This window comes from Homo sapiens, chromosome 4, assembly GCF_000001405.40.
Source record: "Homo sapiens chromosome 4, GRCh38.p14 Primary Assembly".
NCBI classification, from domain to species: domain Eukaryota; kingdom Metazoa; phylum Chordata; class Mammalia; order Primates; family Hominidae; genus Homo; species Homo sapiens.
This window is the reverse complement of record NC_000004.12, coordinates 127,140,035-127,165,109: the sequence shown is the minus strand read 5'-3', so window position 1 is coordinate 127,165,109 and position 25,075 is coordinate 127,140,035. Positions and strand designations below refer to the sequence as shown.

General features: G+C 36.3%; 1 long non-coding RNA gene across 3 annotated transcripts in view, besides 1 other annotated feature; it reads left to right on the top strand.

Annotated features, from left to right (window-relative positions):
- The window catches only part of LOC102724210 (uncharacterized), a 396,780-nt gene that overhangs the window by 305,446 nt on the left and 66,259 nt on the right, over positions 1–25,075 (top strand). The window lies entirely within an intron of this gene.
- Positions 15,447–15,616: an enhancer, noted in NCBI's record as "experimental_73347 CRE fragment used in MPRA reporter constructs". NCBI's record gives its function as "activates a minimal promoter by MPRAs in K562 erythroleukemia cells, with activity observed for both the introgressed and non-introgressed 4:128070734 variant alleles {active_cell/tissue: K562}" and the evidence as "EXISTENCE:reporter gene assay evidence [ECO:0000049][PMID:34662402]".

The window sequence follows — 25,075 nt, the reverse complement described above, 5'->3', positions numbered from 1 at the left end:
ACACCTATAATCCCAGCACTTTGGGAGGCCAAGGCGGGTGGATTACCTGAGGTCGGGAGTTCAAGACCAGCTTGACCAACATGGAGAAACCCCATCTCTACTAAAAATATAAAAATTAGCCAGGTGTGGTGGCACATGCCTGTAATCCCAGCTACTGGGGAGGCTGAGGCAGGAGAATCACTTGAACCCAGGAGGCAGAGGTTGTGATGAGTGGAGACTGTACCATTGCACTCCAGCCTGGTCAACAAGAGTGAAACTGTCTCAAAAAAAAAAAAAAAAAAAAGAAGATTAGAGGATTGGGTAATAACATTTTGGTGTATTAACTAGTTGGAAAATTATTATATAACCATTAAGACATATAAATATGAATATAATATTATAGTATATAAGTTTCAAGTGATATAATGTTAAGTGAAAAAAGTCGTATATAAAATTGTATCTACCCTACATTGCTTCCCTGCATAAAACATATAGAGGAAACCAAAGACTTATATGTAAACCTACCAATGCTGACCCTGATCTTCTTAGGGTGTTGAAATTATATAAGGTTATTTTTCTTGGTTTAAAAAATCTATTTGAATAGATATTTCATAATGTGATTATAGTCGCTTTATAATAAAAAAAATTTTTAATTAAAAAATTTTTAAATGAATTACTGATAATTCACTTTCTGATAGATTTTGTGGGAAATTTATTTTCTGGACTATACACAATATTTTCCTTCCCCTGCTAAATTTTATTATGTGAACTTTGGCTTTCCTTATAGTACATTAAATATTTTTTTCAATGTTTAGTCATTTGACATTAATGTTTATTTCCTTATGACATCTATAGATTTGATGAATATATCTTTTACTTTGCCTTTATCTACATTGCATATATAATAAAAATATTTACCACTAAATGAAACCAGTCTTGAAGTTCTTGATGTACCTTCTAAATGTCAAATGCGGAAGACTATCTCAGTTCTCATTTTTCTGTCTTATAGAGTATTTGACCTCTGCCCCTTCAAATTTTCTTTCTACTGGACTACAGCCCTGTCCCAGTTTTCTACCATTATTTCTACCATCTCAGTGGAAACGTTCACTAAGGTTATATATCTTGTTTTTCATTATTTTCCTTGGGTATCTTTCCCATTTCTTATCTTCACATATCACCTCTGTGAAGATTACTCCCAAATATCTATTTCAGGCCTTCCCTCTGAGCTCTGAGTAAGTATGTCTAGATGTTTGCTTGAGAGTTCAACCTGGTAGTTGTGCTGGAACTTAAACTCAGCATTTCCCAAACACTCTTCATTTCCTCTGGTGACAGCATTCTTCTTGTCCTCTAACTTTGGAGTCATACTTACTCCTCCTCCATTTTCCTGTATCTATTAATAGTTGCCATTAGGTGCAATACACCTAAGTGGCATTTCTTGCTCTTTCTACCCATACTGAGAGGCAATGTGCAGAGTGGTTAAGGGTGTGGCCTCTGGAGACAAACTGCTTAAGTTTGCTATGATCTAGCTCTGTGACTTTGGGCAATGTTTTTAAGCTTCTGATCCTTGGTTCCCTCATTTGTAAATTGGGGAAGGTAATATTATTAGCATATGATCTCACAGAATCATTCTGATGATTAAAACATAATGTATGTTATGACCTCGGATGACTGCCCAGCATAGAAAGTTTAGCTCAATAAAGCTTGTCTACTATTATTATTTTCATTCTAAGTGCTACCACCTTCACTCAAATTCTTTTAATGTCTCGGCTGTTGTTGCATTGTGTCATATGATGGATTCCCTGATTTCTGAAGAATAAGTCTATATTCTTTTATTTGAGATATACTTTTAAAGTTTATATGAAACCCACTTAATTCTGCCAAGATTTATGCCTCATGTGACATCTGATGGACCAAATAGGAAACATGCAAAGTAGAGACATTGTATTCCCTTCCTGTAGTGGGGCATTTAGTGTGAGACCAGTGCGTTAAAAGGAGGCCTCAAAAAAAAAAAAAAATCCAAAGACAGATGTATAGTTTGGAATGCAAAAATAAAACAAAACAAAGTGCTCACGTCATGTCAACACAGGCAAAATTAGCTTGGGGAGAATTTACGGATCAGAAGATCCCAGGGCAGGAAAATGGGAAGCTGTGGTGTAGCCTTGGGACATCTCTGTGAGGGTTATTTGGTTATGCAATAACATCAAGTAATTCCTCTCTGTAGAGTCATATGCACCCTGGATTACCACATATAACAAGAGACACAGTTCTCTTTTCTGTTTTTCTTTCACTCACAGCCAACCACTTGTAACCTCACTCAAGCCATTAGCTTAGAATGAAAACCTCATTTATATACTTGCTTTACGTGCTTATTTTGCTAACTTGTAGTATTTCCCTGAAAGACATTTACGATATTTCCCCATTCTCATTTTATATTTCATACTACTAATTTTAAATGGTTCTATTTTGACTTTCTGACCAAATGTGCATTTTAAAAGGGTGATTTTAAAAGTATAGAAAGAATTCTCACAGCTTAGAGTTTCCTTGCATCACACTTTCTCTTAAAATGGCACCTGGGAAATATTGACCATTTTATTGTAGTCTATTTCCTTTTGTCTTGTGGCTTATTTCTATCTGTTTCTGTCAGCTATGAAAGATTTATCCATATGCCAAAGAACTGTGAAATATTTTATGAACTTTTCGGAAAGAATGATTGAATATTATGTAAGAGCTTAACTCTGTAAATTTATAATAGGCCTGTGACAATAGAATTCAGTTTCTGCTAGAGCTCCCTGGTTTTGAGCATCATGAAAAGACACCAACCTTGGTGCACTGACACATTCAATATTTCCTACATCCGGAAATGTTGGGTTGGATCTTTTATTGTGCTGTCCATTGAGGGGAGCAGAAGGTGCATTTAAGCTGGTCTAAGATCAGGAACAGAGAGGTAAGTAAGATGTAACTATCTATCTGTCTGTCTGTCTGTTTACCTACCGTCTATCCCTGCAGCCCCTCTCTCCATCATGCTGATGATCAGTGTCCCACTCCTACATCATCCCTTGTAATTGCCTTTATCTCCTCCCAACAGAATGCAGTATTGAATAGTGTCAAGAGCAGAGATTATGGAGTTAGACAGACCTGAGTTTTAATCGAGCGCTACTGTTTATTTGCTGTGTGATCATGCATAAATTGGTCAGTAAGTGCTTCTGCAGGTTGTAATGAGGGTTAAGTAGAGAAATGTGTATAAAAACTTGACCCACAAAGATGTAAAGGGTGAACAGTCTGATTTTTTTTTTTTGAGCCAGTCCTTCAACCTGCACTTTCCAGAGCTCTCTGTAAATCTAACTGACTGACTCTGGGGTTTTATTTTTGTTCTGGGTGAACCACTTCTCCCCTTTTTCCAAGGCTAAGGTTTCAAATCTCAATCTTTAGAATTTTCACTTTCTTTATCCTCTTGCTCTTGGCTTGGGGCTTCTGGAAGATTTGTTTAATTGCCAAATCTTATAAGAAATCTCTGGTCAGAGGGACATATATATGGGAGACAGAGGAGGAGGCAGGAGAAAAACAGGGAAAATTTTTCTTTAAATTTTGGGTCTAGCATTGCAGAGGAGGGTTATGCTGACACCTGTTAAGTCCTGAAGATCAGAAGCAAGTTATATAGCCTCATGCACAGGTAATAACTTGCTTCAGTCCTAGGACAAAACGATGTCATGTTTCATCAACTAGGGACAAACACCACAAATGTAGGTGCCACTCCATCATTTTTCTCACCATAATTACATTTATTTCTCTATCTGTATTAATGTTAAAACTTTACATTCTTGTTTAATTTTAATCTAGCTATTTAAAATATCTGCCTTTGTCCTAGCTGAGTAAGCACTGTCTGTCATGGTATAAATGGTTCTATGGGGTAGAGAGATTGCTAAATTTCAAAAATGATTATCATATACAAAAATGTTCTTGGCTTTCTTTGATGAGAAGGAACTGTATAAGTCAAGGTCTGGTGAGGAGATAAAAACCACACTAGTAATTCTAACAGAAGATTAATATAAAAAGTGTTAAATAGGTATTAGAGCACTGAAAAGGCAAAAAAGGAAAACTGAGGTATCACAGAGTTGTTAATTGCAAGAAGCAGCTACTATTCCCAGAACTTGGGGAATCAAGGGAAGAAGCTATGGAGCTGGGACTCAAACCTCTGGCTGTCAGCTGCTGGCATTTCTGAGCGGGCTGCTGTGGGAAATGTGGGAAAAGCTAGAAGTGTAATTGACTGATGCCTCTGGAATGAACTGCTACTGCCAGAGTGAACAGTCATTGCCAGGGTTAAGCTGGCAGGAACAACACACAAACAGGAAGAAACAGTTTCTTCTCTCTTCTTAAAAATTTTATTTTGAATTGACAAATAATAATTGTATATATTTATGGAGTACAATGTGATGTTTTGCTATAGCTCCAACCTTGAATCCTCCATCTAATGCTCCCGTTAACAAAGCCTAACTGAGAATTAGCCAGCAAAGTTGAAATGTGGTTTGCAGACACATATCCCAGCAGCACAAAGCAGAGTATAGAACAGTGAGTTGAAATGGAAAAATATTAACTAAATTACCGTCTCAAGAATTTATGTGATACACTGTGGTGTTTCATTGCATGTTTACATTGTATAGCAATTAAAACAGTGATTAACATATATAAATTTTTAAAATTAATAAAAAAAGAATTTAAAGGACATAGGTTATTCTTTTTTTTGTTTGTTTTTGTTTTTGTTTTTGTTTTTTTTTGAGATGGAGTCTTGCTCTGTCGCCAGGCTGGAGTGCAGTGGCACGATCTCGGCTCACCGTAACCTCTGACTCCCTGGTTCAAGTGATTCTCCTGCCTCAGCCTCCTGAGTAGCTGGGATTACAGGCACACACTATCACGCCCAGCTAATTTTTGTATTTTTAGTAGAGACAGCGTTTCACCATTTTGGCCAGGATGGTCTCAATCCCCTGACTTTGTGATCCGCCCACCTCAGCCTCTGAAAGTGCTGGGATTACAGGCATGAGTCACTGCTCCTGGCCAGGTTATTCTAATTTTGAATGTGTATTAGGGCCCACAGGAAAGCTACCTTTAGGGATTCTAGCAACAATAGCTTTTGGAGTTAAAAAATGTGAGTAGGTTATACTTACAGTGATAGCCCAATGTCAGATTCCCAAATCTGTCAGATTCAAACACAAATTGGGGCAGAGATAGAAATAGGGGGAAGAATGGGAAAGTTTTCTTTAATGAAGGACATTTCAAAGAGGAGCAAGATTATTCGCTGAAGTTTTATTGACTATATGTTTCTCTTATTCTAGTCTTAATTTAATAGCTAATGTTATGCTTGCTTCTCAATTTAAGAAATTTTAATTTTTTTTCTGAGTTCTTAAAGAACATCTCCCACTCTTAGCTATTCTCTTCTCCTTCCTCTCTTTCCTTCCCCTTTTTCTCCTTTATCCCTTTTCCTAGAACTTCTTTACCTATTCCCTCTTCTATTTCCTTCCTCCATCTCCTTTCCCCCTGTCCCTTTCCTCTGAATTATCACTGTTATTTGGCAGCTCTTGACTAGAGGTGAGATTTCAGACAGGTTACATATTCACATTTGTCTTTCCTGTGACTACTAATAGTTAGAAACAAAGCACTCTCGATTAAATTAAATGTTGAATATTAACTCTAAAATGACAAGAAGTTTCATTCATCTTCTATAAATTTTTTGAAGGTAAGAGGGTATGTTTAATCCAATCAGAAAATAAGCTTAAAAAGAATCTTCCCTCCCATTCTTTCCTTGGTACTTTCTTCCTCTTCCCACAACTGCATCCTAACAGCTGGTGTGATGTTTTGACAGATATGCCAAACTTTATTCTGATAGGACTGGAAAAGACAGAAACACTTACCTGTTTGGGAATTGTCAGTTTGAGTTAAAGGCCTTCTAGTATCTGCTTTTCTTTGCAGCCCATGTGCTTTGGAAGTCATTGTTTTTCGTGATGGCTGTGATGTATGCAGGCTTCTAGACAGAGTGACTGTGTATGTACCAGTTAGGTTAAGCCTCGCTCTAAAGACAGTCTGATGCCCTAATCAGGAAGGCTCTGTTTGGGGATTATTTTCTATATTTTAAGTGAGAATTCTATTACCCAGCGGTGGGTATTTTAAGTGCTTCAGTAATTTGTATGAATATCTGACTTTGACTTTGCTAATGAGCATATTAAATATCAGAAATGGGGTTTTCCTTGTACATAGTGGCTTGATAACAACAAGATGAATCTTAGAAGTAGATTGTCAGTGATAACATTAAAGGTAATTAGTATATATGGATTGGCTAAAATGTTTTAGAAATATTTCTCATACTTGTCCTAATAGGATATAATAATCTAGTGATACTGGAAGTTTTTACAGTGAGGGATGGAACCTCAGGCTGGATTTCAGTTCTTTCTCCAGTCACTGATTTAGGCAAGTTGTTGTTGCCTGACTCTGATTCTGACTATAAGGGAACAGAATCTGGCCTTTGTATTCTCATGTCTCTGCTGAGAGGAGGGCTGGCTTCATATGCCCATATGAACCAAGGTGTCTTTGGTTTAAAGGGATCCTTTTTAATCAAGGGATCTGTGCTTGGTTTAATGCTTTGTTGTTGCATTCTTGAAATTCTTAATAATTTGAAACAAGGAGCCCCATGTTTTTGTTTTGCACTGGGCCATGTAAATCAGCCAGAATTGGCTGCATTAACTTTTCATGCAAGGACATTGGAAAGGACAGAGCTGAGACTTCACTGAGTTTGTGAAGGAACTCTTGTGCCTGTTTATTAAACCAATGCCCATATATCGGGTAAAATCGGGTTTGAAACTTGTTTCAGTTAGAACCAATTAAGTTGTGGGGAATAGCTAACCATCAGTGCCTTTGCTGACTTCCAGTTTTTACAACAAAGAGTTGTACAAAACCAAATTGGCTTGGATCAGTTCACAGCAGTGCCATCTAGGTTTTAAGGACTACATAGTTTATCACGGCACAGAGAAATAAAACTCAGGATATGGAACTTTTTAAAATTTTGGTACAGAAAGTTGTGTTAGATGGTTAAAATACAGGCAGTTACTTGTGCTATCAGGAAACTGAAACCAGATGATAAAAATTAATTATTGTTTTACTTATTTTGCTAAAAACTAGAATTTGTCATTCTGTCCCTTTACTCCAGTGCACATTATCTCTGTATACAGTGAAATTGGAAATGGTAGTAGGAGTTTGGATTGTGTTTTTAAATAGAGCATGTGGTCTTTGAATGCATCAGTTCATGGAATAGGCAGTACTCTGAAAACTCATTCTTAGAGCAAGATTTTATTTAAAACTGTGTGCATTGAGGCTGATTATTGCCCAGTAACATTGATTGGTCTGACAGGGTCCTGGGAGATGAGGCATTGCTTTTAATTTTTTAAAAATTTTAAGTAAGACACATATCCCCCCTCTCTGTTATGACTATGCCTTTTCTTTTGATTTGCAGTTAGAAAGTTGACATATTTTCCAAATGAATGAAAACTCAGTTTGTAATGGATGGCAAGGGCTCCTTCATGAAATACAGCCTAGGTACTCACAGAGGCCTGCTTCAGGCTAGACTGGAAATAAAAAAGATTGTGCTTGCTGGCCTTTGAGCAACATTCTGTTGACTGAAAGGTTTTAATCTTATTGTGGAAATGTATAATTCCTCTTTCTACAAACTCACTAGGGATTGTTCTGCCTGTTGGTCTGATTGTTGATGCCTTCTCAAGTACACGTTGCCTTTCAAATTTTTTTTTACTCTTGTGGACTGAAGAGCAAAGGAAGGTAAGTGACATAGCCTCACTTATTCATAGGTTTACTTAGGGAACAAAAGCAAAATTAGAATATATGTTGAAATAATTTCCCCCAAAACTACCCAATGTCTATCTTGTTCTTTAAAAGGCACATCACGGCCTTTGTAGAGGTGACAATGTGGTGGTTGTGGGGGGACGATGGCCTGCTGCAGGTCTGACTGGCATTGGAAAATGCTCAGTGTGATCTGCAACTCCCTCTCTCTCTCTAAGATTGTACACACCATTTGCCTGACAGTCTGTGACTGAGTATAAAGGAGGGCATCTACAAGCATAGCTCATCTCTTTCTACATTGTGAACATTGATATTTTATATTTATTGCCTATCGTGTGAGAAGTTTCACACTTGAATGGATCTGGTAAACTAAACAACAACAAAGGAAAATGCAAAACAACAAAAGTTAAAAAACAACTTAACTTTCTCAATTTCTTCTATTTTTTGTCATTTATTGTACCAGTTGTGGGTATGTCCAGTAATTCAGAATAAAGCAACACTTTGAATTTTATAGCTAGACCAATATTTGTTCCTCTTTAATTAGTTTCTGTGGATTTAAAATCACATTGCAACCTTCTGTCTCTATGTTCATTTTAGAAGAAATCAGTACTGAGGTTTCCTTCTCAACATGTATCCACAACTGAAAAGTCTATAAAGTTTATTAGACCTCTTTCACAAAGGTCATGGAAAGAGAAAATAAGAGTGCTTTATTTTAGATAAAGGCTATGTATTATAAGAAGACCATGTCACCTATTGCAGTCAGCATTTTTAACAGCAATAATAAATATGATGGTAAGTCAACATGGAACACATAATTTAATACTAGTAATTATATACCCACAAACCTCATACAAACTAGGCTCATACTTTTAGTTCAAGTATACACATATCTATCACTAAATGACTGTGGGTTTTGAAATATTTCACCAGAAAAGTATTTTTTATTCCAGTGCTCTATGGTGTCAGGTCAAAATACTTTCTTCAGAGTACATTTTATTCAAGGAAAACCTTACTAAATAGATTTTATGAGAGAGTCACAAGGCCGTATGTATTTACAACTCTGAACTGTGACCAAGCTAAAGAGACTGTAATGATCACATAAATGAAAAAACATGATTGTACAATCTTCATGGCTTTCATAAAAATGATTTTTTTTTGCCTAACATTGCAATGTTTAACCCATTTAAAATTTGAAAAACTATAGGAAAATATAAAGGAAGAATACAGTAATGAATACTTCTAACTGGTCATTTATATTTCTGTGGAATTCGAGACATTAAAAAAAAGGAAGAGAGGGGGAATATAATACTGTTGCCTTATAAACCTTTTATTTTGAAATACTTTCAAACTTACAGAAAAGTTGCAAGGACAGTACACAGAAATCTTGTTCAACCTTCATCCTAATTCTGCAACTATTAACATATTTAGCACATTTGCTTTTTCTTTTTACCTATTTACCATGTATCTTCCATTTCTAATGTTTATTGTTAATTTCCATTTGCAAATACGTTGCATGTGTGATGCCCTGTTACTCCTAAATAAAGCAGTGTGTACTTCCTATTCATCCATAATGTATGTATCTCAAAATCAGAAAATTAACATTGATACAATATTAACATATAACTCACAAACCCCATGAAAATTTCAGTATTTGTTCCAATAATGTCCTTTGTAGAAACAGACAAAAAGGAGAAGAAGAAGGAGAAAAAAAAACATACAGGGAAAAAACAAAAACAAAACTTTTATTTTCCTCTCTTTCCCTTTTGGTCCAGAAACCAGGATCAAGAGTTTCATTCGATAGCCATGTATCTTCATTGTCCTTCAATCTGTAGTGACTCTTCAGCCTTTCTTTGCTTCTTCATGTAGATATTTTAAAACTGTACAAGTCAATTATTTTGTAAAATGCCCTTCAGTTTGGCTTTGTCTAATGTTTCCTCATGCTATGATTCAGAATATAAATTTTTGGCAGATATATTACAGAAGGGATGCTGTTTTCTTCACAGTGTGTTGTACTAGGAAACGCATTATTTCCATTTGTGTCATTGCTAGTCATGTTAACTTAGTGTCAACTTGGTTTTTCTACTCTATAGTTCATTAACCAATTTTTTTGTACTTATTAAAAATAATTAATATGAGTTTTGTGGGTGATACTTTGAGCCTGATTAAATATTTTGTTTCTTATAAAACTTTCACCCAGTAGTAGTCTTTTAGATCAGCGGTCCCCAACATTTTTGGCACCAGGGACTGGTTTTGTGGAAGACAATTTTTCCATGGATGTAGAGAGGGGATGGTTTCAGGATGAAACTGTTCCACCTTGGATCATGAGGCATTAGTTAGATTCTCATAAGGAGCATGCAATCTAGATCCCTCGCATGCGCAGTTCACAATAGAGTTTGAGCTCCTATGAGAATCTAATATCATCGCTGATCTGACAGGAGGCAGAGCTCAGGTGGTAGTACTCACTCACCTTCTGCTCACCTCCTGTGCAGCCTGGTTCCTAACAGAATGGGGACACTGTGTTGGGGTCCCTGTTTTATGTGATATATTTTAGTGACTAAAGTTTTCACATGTTTTAGATGTTGATTTTAGTCTGAATTAGTTATTATAAGATGGTTGCCAAATGGTGATTTTTTTAAATTCTACCATTCCTTCTATAATTATTAGATGGAATTTGATAGAAAGTAGAGCATTCTCTCTTTTTTTCCCACTTTCTTCTCCTTTCTTCGGTATGAGCTTTAGATTCCTATTATAATCAATGGGCTATGATCTAATTAATTGCAATACTCAGAATGTTCCAGATTTGACCAATGGAAACCTCTTGAAGCTGGCTTCTGAGTCCTTCTGATGGATCTTTGTAATTGATTGATACTTCCTTTCTGGCATAAGAAGATGTTCTGGTCTAACCATGAGTCATGTAGCCACTACCACCATCAAGACATAGAATATTTCAATCACTCCTGAAAATTCTCTCAAGCTCATTTGTAGTCACCCCTTCTCACCCCTACCTTGTGTTTTGGCATCTACTGATTTGTTTTCAGTTGCGATGGTTTTGCCTTTTTCAGAATGTCATAGGAATGGAATCATATAGTATGTGTCCTTTTGAGTCAGTTTTCTTTGACTCTGCATGTTGCATTTGAGATTTATCCATGTTGTTGCATGTATCAGTAGTTTGTTCTATTTATTAGCGAGTAGTATTTCATTACATGAACATACTACAGTTTATTCACCAGTTGATGGTTATTTGGGTTGTTTCCAGCAAAATTGTTTTAGCAATTATAAACAAAATATTATTTGTATACACATTTTTTATTGACTTCAAGGACATATGTCTGCACTTCCCTTGGGTAAGTGCTTAGGAGTGGTATTTCTGGTCACATGGTATGTGTGTGTTTAATTTTATAAGAAATTATCAAACTGCTTTTCAAAGTGGTTGTATCATTTTTGCATTCATACCAGCAAAGTATAAGAGTCCCAATTTCTCTTCATTCTTGACGGTACCTGCTACTTTTTTTTTTTAAATTAGCCATGATAATAGTTGTATATTGGTGTCCTATTGTGATTGTAATTTGCAATTTTAAAATTATTAGTATGTGGATTGCCTACGTGCTTATCTTATACCTCTGTATCTTCTTTGTTGAAGTATCTGTTAAAATATTCTTTACTGAATTATAAGTTTTCTTACTACTGAGTCGTGAGAGTTAAAAAAATATTCTGGATACCTGTCCTTCTCAGAAATGTGTTTTGCAAATATTTTTGCAGTCTGTGGTTTGTTTCTTAATTTTCTTATAGTTATATTTAGAATAGTAGAAGCTTTCAAATTTGAAGAAGTCCAATTTATTAATTTTCTTCTATAATTTGTATTTTCAGTCTTCTAAAAAAATTTTGTGAAACACAAGATTGCAAAGATTTTCTCCAATGTTTTCTTCTAGGGTTTACATTTAGGTCCAGCACAACTTTTCAATAAGGTTACCATCTTTCCACTGAATTTCTTGGGACATTACAAAAAATCGGCTGACATTTGGGTGGGCCTGTTTCTGGACCCTCTGTTCTAATTAATTGATCTATGTGTCTATTTATTTGCAAAGACCACATTGTTACTATTATTGTAGCTTTATAATAAATCTTAAAATCAGGTAGTATGCATAAGTCTTTCAATTTTGCCCTTTCATTAAACTTTTATAGTTTTTAGCTTACAAATTTTGTATGTTATATTTATATCTAAGTATTTTATATTTTATATTGCTATTGTAAATGGAACTTTTAAAATTATAATTTCAAATGGTTCATTGCTAGCATGTAGATACATAGTTTTTATTTTTATATTGATCTTGTATCCTACAGTCTTGCTAAATAGACTTCTTACATCTAGTAGCTTTTTTGGGTAAACTTTGTGAAATTCTACATAGATAATCATGTTTTCTAAGAATGGAGAAAATTTTATTTATTTTTATAATATATTCCTTTTATTCTTTTGTTTGGTCTATTATTCTAGCTAGGACCTATAGTATGATATTGGTTACGGATGGGAGGAGAGGACATTTTTGCCTTGTTTTTAATCTTAAGGAGAAAGATTTAACTTTTCCCATTAAGTCTGACTTCAGCTCAGGTTTTATGCAGATGCCCTTTATCAAGTTCAAAACGTACTCTTTTATGCCTAATTTTCGTAGAGTTTTAATCACGAATAAATGCTGTATTTTGTAAAAATAATTTTTCTGCCTCTGTTGAGATCATTTTTTAGTCTGTTCATGTGATAATGACATTGATATATTTTCAAAATATTGAACCAACCTTGCTTTCCCCATTTAAACTCCATGATGTTTATATGGGTCATTACGTCTTATTACTCCAGTCATGATGGATTATTATTTTTATATGTTGCTGAATTTGATTTGCTAATATTTTGTTGAGTTCTTTTTGTATGTTTGTTCATGATTACAATGCATAGTGGTCAGTAGTTTTCTTGTAATTTCTTTGTCTTTGCCTGATTTTGGTCAGGGTGATGTTGCCTCTTCAAATTACTTGGAATGTCCTACATTTTTCTTTATTTTCTGTCTGTCCTTGACAACATGCAGAATTGGTATTATTTCTTCCTTAAGTGTTTGATAGATTTTACTAGTGAAACCATCTGGGCCTACAGCATATGATGTCCATTTGTCATGAACCACATGACAAATAGCAAAGCTCAAAGGAATTCAGAGAACCTCTCTTCTTCTGCTTTCTAACTCATTACTTAGAGGTTTATTGCTTGTTTACCCCTGTGCTTCCATCTTCTGGATTCTGGGTTACTATATCTGCCACAATTTCTTAAATTATCTTGTAACTATTTTCATTGATTCCACTTGTCAGCTAGATTCAATCAAGCTATTGTTTTTTTTTTTAATACTGCTGAATTTCAGGGTTCTCTACCAATTTATAAGATTATTTGAATTGCTCACAGTGACAAAATTAATTACTATGGAGATAGTTTATAAATGCTGAACTTGCAGCTCATTCCATTATGTTATGCCATCTTCCAATCTACAGGCTACCTAATATGAGTTAAGCATTTGCTTGTTTTTGCTTATATTAAATAATGTCTAGATTTTTGAAGATGTTTAAGTGTTTGATTTTTAAAAAGCTGCATTTTTTAACTAGACTTACACCTGCTGCGTTTTTAAGTGAACTTTGCTGTGTGTGTATTACCTCATATAACCTATTTTCCAAAGAAGTTCAACTCTCAGAATAAATAATCAGGAGTACTGTGCTCACTTGGATAAAGTTGAAGTCCTTGATTTTTAAATGATTTAAAAGACTCTTTATAATGATTCCATACTTTGTTCTGGAGACCCATGATTCAATGGCAGGAACGGTAAATGTATGATTTGCTAAAATCAGAACTCAGTGTCACTGGATGAATACAAATATTTACTTCCTTCCTCATACTGTTAGAATCAACTAAAAAGTTGAGCTTATTTAGTCCGCATCTGGGATTTGGCTTTGAACAACTTTCTAGCTTAGTGATGGCATGCGTGGCACTGTTCTTTCCGTCACTCTTGGTAGTTTTTCTTCAGTGTTAGAGCAGAAGAAAGGATGATCCTGTCTTTATTTTATGGCATGCTCTGAATATGTTAATTTTTTTCTGTTCTCTTTTAGCTAACAGTGAAGTAGGTGATGCTTGGGTGAATATATAACAATGATGTGCTAACTATATCAAGTCAGAATTGCCATGCAGTAATTCTTGATTCAGAAACCCAGCAAAGTCCTTGATTTGAAAACTGTGAATGCATGTCTTTTATCAGCATGAATTTTCACATAGTCCTTGAATAACATAGGTTGATTGACAATAAATAAACTTGGGATAAACAAATAAATAGAAATAATTGGTTCTAATGAAACAAATAATTAAGGTGTGATTTTGAGATCTCTGTCCTTGTTTTTGTTTAATCACGTGTCAACTAAATAGAAATAGTTGGTTTTAATGAAACAAGGACAAGATTTGGGGTCTCTGTCCTCATCTTACTTTAATACCATGATCATGCTTTTCTCAAGTTCCCAACTATGTATTAAATGATAATAAAGAGTGTGACTTTCAATTTAATAAATTTATTTAACAAACGGTTTTTACAAATGAAAAGTATTATTATGAAAATCAAGTCTTCATATAAATAAGTCTACAACTATGTGTATAAAGGAAGAAAATGGTAATATGGATAACTCTAAATAGTTTTTAGTGGAACTCTTACTGCTTTGTTTCATTTGTGTAGTGAAAGAACTGGAAAATTGGAAGAGATTGTGGATTTCAGTGGTATTTCTTAGTGGTGAAGGATGAGAAACATTTTACATCTCTTATACATCAACCTGGATTCCTAGTCTCATCCTAATAGAAAGATGAGAAGACTCACTTCTTGTATCACTGCCTTAGAATTCTAGCCAGATAGGGTGGAGCCAAGTGGGAGAAATATTTGTGTCTTCCCTCAAGGTTCCTTAAGGCTCCTTAATGTTTGGCTTTGTAATGCTTTGATGTCAGTTACCAGATTTGCCTTATAAAAGTGCTTGCTTTAACCACATCTGGAGCAAAAAACAAACTACCAAATTATAGTAAGGGGAGGGTACTCTAGCGAACAAAATTTTGAAAAAAAAACAAAAAGAGTACTCTTCTATGATAGCAACAAATTATTTAAGAATATGATAGCACTTCTGAGAATCAGTGAATAAATAAATAAAATAAAATGGTGCTGATGAAGGTATTTCCACCTGTGTGGACTTGGGTAAGTCTCTTAAGCTTTTTGTCTCAATTTCCTCATGTGCATTCTGAAGTGTTTGAATTTCCTGATTAGTATAGTCCCCTCTGATCTGAACATGCTGTAATTCTGGGCTGTAGAGCACAGAGAGCTTTAAGAGACCTTGAGGATTTGAGACCAGAGACATCAGTGTGTGACTTGGTGCGAGGAACAAGACTGAATACCAAAAGGGAAATGTGCTGTGCATGAAAGACCTGGATTTGTGGCAATTTTTCCTGGTCAGTAAGGGAGAAACGTCTTAAAGGGTAAGAATTTTCTGTATTCAAACCACAGTATGAATGTCTGAAAAATGCAATCATGTTTGGAAGATTTATATTTTGGTGAAGACATAAGATCAGTTAAGTACATGTGTATGACCCTAAATAAAATGTGAAAGAAAAAATTTATTCAAAGTCAAGTCATCTTCCCCATATATTATCAGAAGAATAGACTGGGAGGGGATTCCAATTGTATATTATGAAGAAAAAAACATAAAGCCACATTCCTAGACTCAGTGTGTATAAATATAATATAGAAAGATAGTTTTTTTTTGGTACCTTTGACAGTGTTATGGAGTTCTAGCTGAAGCTCATTCTTAGTCGTAGCTAATTTAGACGTATCTGAGCCTCACTGGGAATCTGGTGGAATTTGCTTTCCAGGTGCTTGTTTGTAAGATAAATTTAGGATTCTTTTTGGAACTAGCACATCCTAAGGGAAGAAAAAGTCAGCCAGATGAGGTAACCCAACAACGGCCTCAGTCATCAGAGGGATGGGGTTCTTTTATGTTTGTCTTGATACTTGTTTCAGAGATATGTTCCTGGATGCAGAATAAAAAAGGAAAGAGCTGTTTTCACTAAAAACTGTTTATGATATAAATGTCCAATGAAGGATGGAGTGGGTTGCATCAGATGAGTTGTTTCAGTAAAGGGGAGGAGACACATTCTCCCAAAGTAGCTTCAAATAGAATGTGACTCTTGCCTCTCCGTGGCTTCAGTAGGTGAGGTGCAGGAGCTAGAGACACTGCAGCATGGTGGAGGTGACGAGCACATGCAGAGGTACCTGTGGGAGTGAGAAGTCCAGTAGGGGCAGTGAACGTCAGTTCAGGTGACTGACAAGCAGGGCTGCAGTGTCCAGACGACATTGGCTGTCCTAAGGACACTGGGGGAAGTGAATCCAATGCTTCAAACATAAGAGTCAACAAAGATATCCAACTGCCAAAAAAGAGGAACAAATTATGAACAGAGATAATAACAAAGGTTAAAAACCCAAATATTTATTAACAAATGATAAAAGCACATAAAGTTAGAACTAAGGGTATGTGAGAAAGATCGTTAAGCACTAATAAAACATTCTATAGTAACATTTTATAGTGTGTCAGTAGGGAATGATGATGGGGATAAGAATAAAGATAGACAGTTGAAAGTGCACAAAAAGACAGAGATTATAGTTTCTATAAATGTTTTTAAGAAAGAGCACTGGAGTGAAATACAGGAAAAGGTAGCAGTTGACAAGAAACTCCTAAGCAGCAGGCACTGTGTTAGAAGCTTGAAATATATGATTTCATGAAATCCTCTCATCAAACTATTTGCACTAAGCAGAGCTACTAAATATCAAAGCTGGATTTGAATCCAAGTTGTTCTGACTCCAAAGCCAATGTTTCCCTCTCCCTCCCTTGGAGAAAGAATGCTGACTTATGCTGAAATTTCAGTCAAAGGCTAAGGATAAAAGTGAATTAAGAGCAGGCATTTTAGCTCAAGAAATGAGGAGCACAATCATGTTGTTGAAGAGGGGAAATGATTCTGGCTCTGAGGTTCTTATTTCTGAGTTCAGAAAGACTTTTGAGGTTTGTCTAAACAATCTTTTGGCAGCTGTTTCATTGACATGGGGAAAAGGTGAAATAACCTGCAAAATGAAGCCAGGAGTTTAACCAAAAATGTTTATTAAAGGGAAAGAAGGGGAGAGGATTAGATGCTAGAGGACGATATCATCATCAAACACCTATTGCCTTACTTCTCTACAAATCTGGTTTTAGAAACAAATGGGGGTCTGGGCGCGGTGGCTCACACCTGTAATCCCAGCACTTTGGGAGGCTGAGATGGGTGGATCTTAAGGTCAGGTGATGAAGACCATCCTGGCCAACGTGGTGAAACCCTGTCTCTACTAAAAATACAAAAATTAGCTGGGTGTGGTAGCGCATGCCTGTAATCCCAGCTACTTGGGAGGCTGAGGCAGGAGAATTGCTTGAACCAGGGAGTCGGATTTTGCAGTGAGCCGAGATCGTCCCACAGCACTCCAGCCTGATGACAGAATGAGACTTTGTCTCAAAAAAAAAAAAAAAGAAAAAAGGAAACAAATGGGAAGATTAGGGCCCAAGAAACATCAGGGAGGGACTTGTGAACAGGTGCTCTGTGAGCGATGAACACAGAGAAAGAAGCTGAATGGATACTTGGTTGTATATAAGAAAAAGTTTTGGTTGAGACATGCCATGAATAAATGCTGTGCGTGATTATCTGCTGAAGAACATAAAACATTATGAATCAATGTTATTAGTTCTGCCAGAATTGGGTAAACGTTGACAGTTTGATTCCAGAATTCATGTGAAAATGCAAAAAGTTAAAAGAGTTTATTCCAGAAAGGGAAGAATATTGTAATATTAAAAACATAAAGTAGAGGTTAGAATAGTAAGAATATTTGGTGTATTCATTCAGGAAAGAGTGTTAAGAACATTAACCTAAGGCTAATTCTTTTATGGTGCAATGTGAGCCTAACCATTAGAATAGGTGATTCTGTCTTCGGGCATCTTTCTGGCCCCTGCTAATAGTGATTCAAATTTATAAGACTGTTAGCCCCGTTTGTATCCCTGAACTTGCCATTTCCCTCAGAACACTGATCCTTGTAAGCTGTTTGGATCTGCCCTCTCTTATGCTCCTCTCTCCTCTCTTCCCACGAATATGCTCAGTCCATTTTGGGGTCCATTGGTTGCTACTGGCTATTTTGCAATTTTGAGAACTGTCAAATTGTATAAATCTCATCTCAACAGGAGTTGTTCCTTTAGGGAATCTCTCTACAGTAGTAATTTTGAATTCTACTGGTCTACTTTTCCAAACTAGTGGGAGGGAAATGATCCATTAAAGTGAAAAGGGCTGCAAAAACAAAACAAAACAAAATCCATCAATGAGAAGAATGAAATGAAGAGGATGAAGCAGCAAAGGTTGTATTTAAAGGTCTAATGCTGGAAAGCAGGAGTGTACAGCCAGAAAAATGTCAACAGAGGGTGGCAATTTATACAATAAGAACAACTATTAGCATAAGGCTAAAGACATTAAGTGAAAGTTTTAGAAGCCTGGAAAAATTAAATAATGGTTTAAAGCAGAGCTGTGGTATGAGATGTCCTGTTATAACAGATTGCTCTTTTGAATGATCATAAAATTATGAATCAGGAAAGAATATTCCCTCAGCAGAAGATGTAGGGAAGATCAGACACAGTAAAATTCTGTCTCTAAATGTGCCAAAGCAAGTGATTAGGGAGGAAGATATATAATTTTTTATTACAAAGAAACTATTTCTTTAAAGGTAGAAAAAGGAAGAATAACAAAACCATGATTTCTGGGTAGTAAAAATACTGAAAAAGTTAAAACTGATAAAGAGAAAACAATAATAAAGAGAAATGCTCTATGTATATATGACGCACAGAGACCATATCCCATTTTCACTTTTAACACTCTGTGGGGTTCTAGGCTCACAACCCCTCACCCCAGAAGGCTGGCTTTATAAGCATTTCCATCTCTGAAAGAAATTAAGGGACATAAAGACATGTTGCTATTGTTTGGTAGCCTGAACTGCCTGACATTAAGTAATAATCCTGCTGCATCCTAGCCTCGTTACCTTAGGCGACATATTTAGCCTCTCTGTGTCTCAGTCTCCTCAACTGTAAACTGGAGATAATAATATAATTTACCTCAGAGTTTTGTGAGGATTAAATGTTATTTAATTATTAACAGCTCAGTCCATGTTAGCTGTTATTATCCAAAGCTATATTGCTTGTTAGTGGCACAGCTTAGACTCAAATCAAATTTTTCTGCCTCTAAATTTGGTGCCCTTTTCTGGACACTTTTTTTTTTACCTGTTCCCTAGGGGGAGTTAGAGTTTGGGTCTCCGGTCCAAATTTGAGGCCTTGAGAGTTGGGGCCAAAATGTGAGAGGTCAGTTTAAAAAGAACTGGTGCAAAGATGAAGTGTGATCCAACTTCCAAGTCAGTTGATCTAGGTTAGCAAGAAACAGTCCAAAAACATGAGGCTTAGAGAGCCAGAGGGCAGAGAATATGAAGCAGCTCTGAGATGTATGCTCCATAATGGAGATCAGGTAGGATAACAATAGTAGGTTTGTGAAGTGAGACTAGTAGAAATCCCCAAGGCAATGGTGTAGATATTTTATTATTGTTAATTTTTGGCAATGGAAAGCCAATTGTAAATGTTTGTGGAATAATGATCTACTTGGCTTCTACCACTGGCAGCTGGGACCACTTAACACCTGCCTGTCCAATCTTATCTCCCATTTCTGTGCCAATTATGGCCTTTGACAGGGAGATCCTAGGAGTCCAGTAATTAGTCATCGAGTATCAAATCATCTTTCTAGGTGGACACAATCTGATGCTGCGCCTTGTTTACTAAACAAAGTCCTTCAGTGTGTTAGTTACTTGAGATTTCATAAATTTTCTTAAAAGAGGTCAGAGTGGATGCTAAACCTGAACTCTGCTTACTGAAGCTGCATGTCTAGCGCCTAAAGCTGCACGACTCTGAAGTGGAACTCTGCACCTGCTCTGTCCTGGAGCTCTGCCTGCTGCCTGCTGTCCAACCCACTCCACCGACAGGACTGCCCCTGTTGTTTACTCATTAGAACTGTATGGTTTAGCTGGTCTAATCCTTTTGTTCTACTTGGTCCCTTGGGCCTGGCCCTGTAAATGAGACCTGCCCTACTGCAGATGAAACATTTCTTTAGGTATAACACATATGATGTTTTAATCTTTTAAAAAAGTTACCACGTACTAAACATTTCTATATATCAGTGCCAGTGCTTTGTGCCCATTTTCTTATTTTATTTTTTCCAAATAAACTATGACGTAGATACTATATTGTTAGGCTCAGTTTTCTGATGAAATTAAGAAAATTTCTCAAAGTCACACAGCTGGTAACTGGGATTCAAAGCTGGTAACTCCAAAAGCTGAGATATTAAATATTATGCTATATGTTGGTGATAAAAGAAATAATGTAAGAGAGAACATGTAGAATAATTTGAGACACAGTTGCTTTGTAAAGGCAAACTATTCTTATTTGCATTAAAACTCATCATTTCCGTCAGAAACATTACTGAGATGCTCCTTTTTTTTGACATTATACTGTGTCTGAAAGGAAGATGGATACAATAAAAAGGGAGAACATGAGAAAAAGATTCTTTTTAGAAAAGTATTTTGTAGTCAGTTTGATGACTGCTAAATGAATGAGAATTCTGGGCAGCTGTGGAATGACCCCCTCTAATAAAATACTGAGATGTAGTCACTGCAAAAGATACAAATAATCACATCCAACATTGATTAAGAGTGGAGATGGGATATTATGAACTATACTCTGTTGAGGGTCATTTATAAGTGAAAGAGAAAGTCACTGGTGACTAGGTGGATGGCAATGTTGAAACATCTTAAGTATCTCATATGGCCTTGTTAAACTTATTAAAGGGAGACCCTTAAAGCAGAAAAACTAGAACAAATAAAAAGATTTCATTGTGTCAGAACCCAAAACAGTTGTTGTTTCTTTTTAAGAAGAAATTCACGAGTCCCTTTGCAAAACTGATAAATCTTAAAATCTATATACATTCTTTGCAAGATATAAAATCCATGTCCCCACACTATTTATTATATAAATTTATGTACTTCCCTGGAGCCTATTCATGGACCCCAGGCCATGAATCAAGAATCCTTGAGTTTGAAGAAGTCTTTTTGAGTTGGGGAGAATTCCAATGTTATGATTAAATCCTAGTGAGTACCTCTTGCCAAATACTCTAAATATCTGTGGTATTAGGGACTTGATTATTTGCACTTCCTTGTAAATAGAATGGCTGCTGCTGCCTCACAATCTGAGGTTTTTCATAATGAGAGATGAATATAAGTCTCATATTTATTTATTCTATTCTTGTTGATATTTTTACATAGGTAACCTTTTTCCCAAATTCCACTGAGAGATTCTGAGATTGGCGAGAGATCTTTGAAAATCTGTCACGGTGGCTTTCTTTTGGATTGGAATATTTTTTTTTCCCTTAAGCCACAGAATTACTCTAGGTTGTGCCATGGAGACATTTTCATACATCAGGCAGCTTTCGAGCCCTAATTCTGGTAGTTATCAAGCCCACTGACAGGCGTGACAGGACCTAGAAACATAATACAGACTTATATAATCAGCCATTCGTCTCTGCCATTTTTATGTTGAATTAATGCTCTGGGCACCTCTTCAAAGTCATACTGTGGAATATTTTTTGAACATTTATTTTTGTAATATTCTTATATAACTTTCTTAAATAAGAATAGTTCATTCTATCCATTTCCCCCTTCCATTCTAAATCAGAAAATAAAGGCACAGTCTTATGGCACCCAAATACAGATTGAGGCTTTTATTATTATTATTTTTTGAGACACAGTGTCACTCTGTCGCCCAGTCTGGAGTGCAATGGTGTAATCTTGGCTCACTGCAACCTCTGCCTCCCAGCCTCAAGCGATTCTCCTGCCTCAGGCTCCTCAGTAGCTGGGATTACAGGTGCCCACCACCATGCCTGGCTAATTTTTTGTAGTTGTAATAGAGATGGGGTTTCACTGTGTTGGCCGGGCTGGTCTCAAACTCCTGACCTCAGGCGATCCACCTGCTTTGGCCTCCCAAAGTACTGGGATTACAAGCGTGAGCCACTGCGCCTGGCCCAGATTGAGGCTTTTTTTAGTCCTTTCTCAATCTTAGGTCAATTGATTGATTATTGAGTCATTGTTGATTATATCCCTTTTAGCCACACCAAAGTCATATATAAGTAAAGTTTTATTTATACAAAGAAACCTGAAAGGATGGCTTTGAAACATGTCTGCATTGTGGTGAGCTAGATGAGAAAGCCTATTTTTTTTCCAGAATAACACCAATATTTTCCCTCATTTATGGATTTACATGTGATATAATGATAAAGATGAGACTCATTTGTTAGGTGAGAGGAATATTTGAATCACTAAAAGGTAAAACTAACTTTGTTTAAGCCTGCTTGGTGTTAAGCTGCCACGAGGGCAGGGAGATATAGGTAGATCCAATGGCGCTTTTCTCAGTATATGTAATAGCTGTTAGCTCTTAGAATAAGTTGGAGAGGGCTGGGTGCGATAATGAGAAACACAAAATTCAGTGATTTATGTTAACAAAGATCCATCTCTTTATCTGAAAATACAATTTTTACGTATAACAAAACCAAAACATCCCTAGTAAATTAAAAGAGGAAAACAGAACACACACTTTTGTTTTTGGAAAGTTAGAGAATAATAATTAACTGATTTGAACCACCATCTGTGTAGGTGCTATGTAAGATTTTCTGTCTGTCCCTGCCAGTGTACCTGGGCTGTGACATCAGTACCTCTGTTCCCCCGCTCCCAGTTCTCTCTTGAGAAGGCACTGCCAAAGAGCTGGTCATTAGAAAAGAGAAGACACTGCCAAAGAGCTGGTCATTAGAAAAGAGTACACACACACACACACACACACACACACACACACACACACACACACACACACGAGGTTTATCATCTATGTATCAGGCAACTTACTAATAACACCTTAGGAAGAAAATGAAAAAGAAAATGCAGTGAAGAGGAGACTGTATTGACATTCTGGTGTCCTGGAACAGATGAATCAGTGCTTGGCTGGAGACACCAAACATACTTTCCAGTATGGCCCAACCCAAGATGTATTTCTAAATCTGCAGACATGAAAGGTCAGTGTGGTCACCCCCTGGGACAAACATAGATCCTCTGCACATGCAATTTTAATTAGTCAGGGTTTCAGAGCAGGGCACCAGCCATTTTTACTTTATGGTGATAGTTTTATTGATTCCCTGACAATTCAGTGATTCCACAGATACTAAGTGAAGAAGGCCTCTACAGGATTAACAGAGGAGAGCCACTCCGTTTTAGAAAAACATATAGCCTATCTTTTTAGAAATTATTACAAGTGGAGTTTGCACAGCTTTGAATGTTTTAATTGTCTTTTTCTGGCCATTTTATAATTGCTACGTTGAACAGTGATTTACTACATATAGTTTCCTAAATTGGCATTAGTTCAATTTGTCTTCTCCCAACCCAACTGTACCTCAGCAAATGGACAGGTACCTTCCAGTGAGAAGCCTCTGTGCCAGCAGGACAGGTATCGCAGGCATGAGTGTCTCTGAACAGGCTATGCTCATTCTCATCTATGGCAAACATTTTTGAGTTAATTTATTTCTTTTCCAAACAATTTGAGCACTGCTTTAGGTGACGGAACTGGGATTTGAACCTAGGCCATTCTGACTTTAGCAGACTAAATAAATAACATCTACAAGTCAGATAGATTTGGGCTGAGACCCTGTCCTATCTCTAGCCAATTGTATCAGATTGGTCAAGTTATTTAACCCATCTGAAGCTATTTTTATTTCTTTACACTTATTTACGATAATAGCCCAAAAGTTTGCTGCCGGGATAAAAAGACCAGATATTAATACATAAAACATTCAGTATAGTGCCTGGAACAAAATAGTTACTGGACAATTGGTAGCTAATATTGCCACTTACAAAGGATTATGTAAATATGCTTAGTAACTCTGAAGGTCTTTATTTTTTATTTATTTGATTTTTGTTTGTTTGTTTTGAGACACAGTCTTACTCCATTGCCCAGGCTGGAATGCAGTGGTGTGATTGTAGCTCACTATAACCTCGAACTGCTGGATTCAAGTGATCCTCCCCACTCAGTCTCCCAAAGCACTGGGATTACAGGCCCGAGCGCCATGCCTAGCCTGAAGGACTTTTATTTTTGCTTACCTACCCTTACCATAAATAATAAAATATTTAAACTCAGTGACTAATATTTTCTGTTACATAAAACTTAATAGTTTTTAGTGAGTTTCAGTGGCCAGTACTGATAAGCCATGAAAAATAGGCATTATAGAGATAGGAAAAAGGAGGAGGAATGAACAAGGAATAAACCATTGAGAAAAGTCTGTCCTTTTATTTCCAAATTTTATATTGAATGAAACTTAAGATTTTGGAAGAAATTGGTAAATAATGAAAATTAAGTTTTGAGAGATGTTGAATGTGACACGGAAAAACGTTTTCAGAATCTGCTGTGTTGATGTCTTATACTGTTTGCTTAGATTTGTTTCCAGTCTGAAACTTCACAGGGGACATTTAATAACATATCCTGTGATACAGGCCCTGACGCTGGTCACTCTTTCTGAATGGATAAAGGGCCTATGTAATTGGATCAGGTTTATTTGTTTAGGTAGTGGGGATTCTTAGGTGACTCATTGTTTTCTTCAGTGTAGTCTACCAGATGTTGGAGTCATATTGGCCTGTGTTTGGTTATTAATTCTGCTGGGTACCAGTAGTAGGAATTTGAACAAGTTAACTAACCTCCCTTAAACTGTGCTGTTTTTCTTCCAGTTGTAAACTGAAAATAACAATACTTCTCCTTATTGCTGTGAAGATTAAGTGAAATTGAAGTGGGTATGAGAAGAAAAAAGTAGAGAAATATGTAGATCATTAAATAATAAGAAGGAAAGGTAGTTCTTATTCCTCTAGCACAGAGGTCTCCAACACCTTGGTCACAGAGCCATGGCAGTCTGTGGCCTTAGGAACTAGGCTGCAAACGTGAGTGGCCAGTGAACGAGTGAAGCTTCATCTGTATTTACAGCCCCTCCCCATCATTTGCATTACTGCTTGAGCTCTGCCCCCTGTCAGGGCAG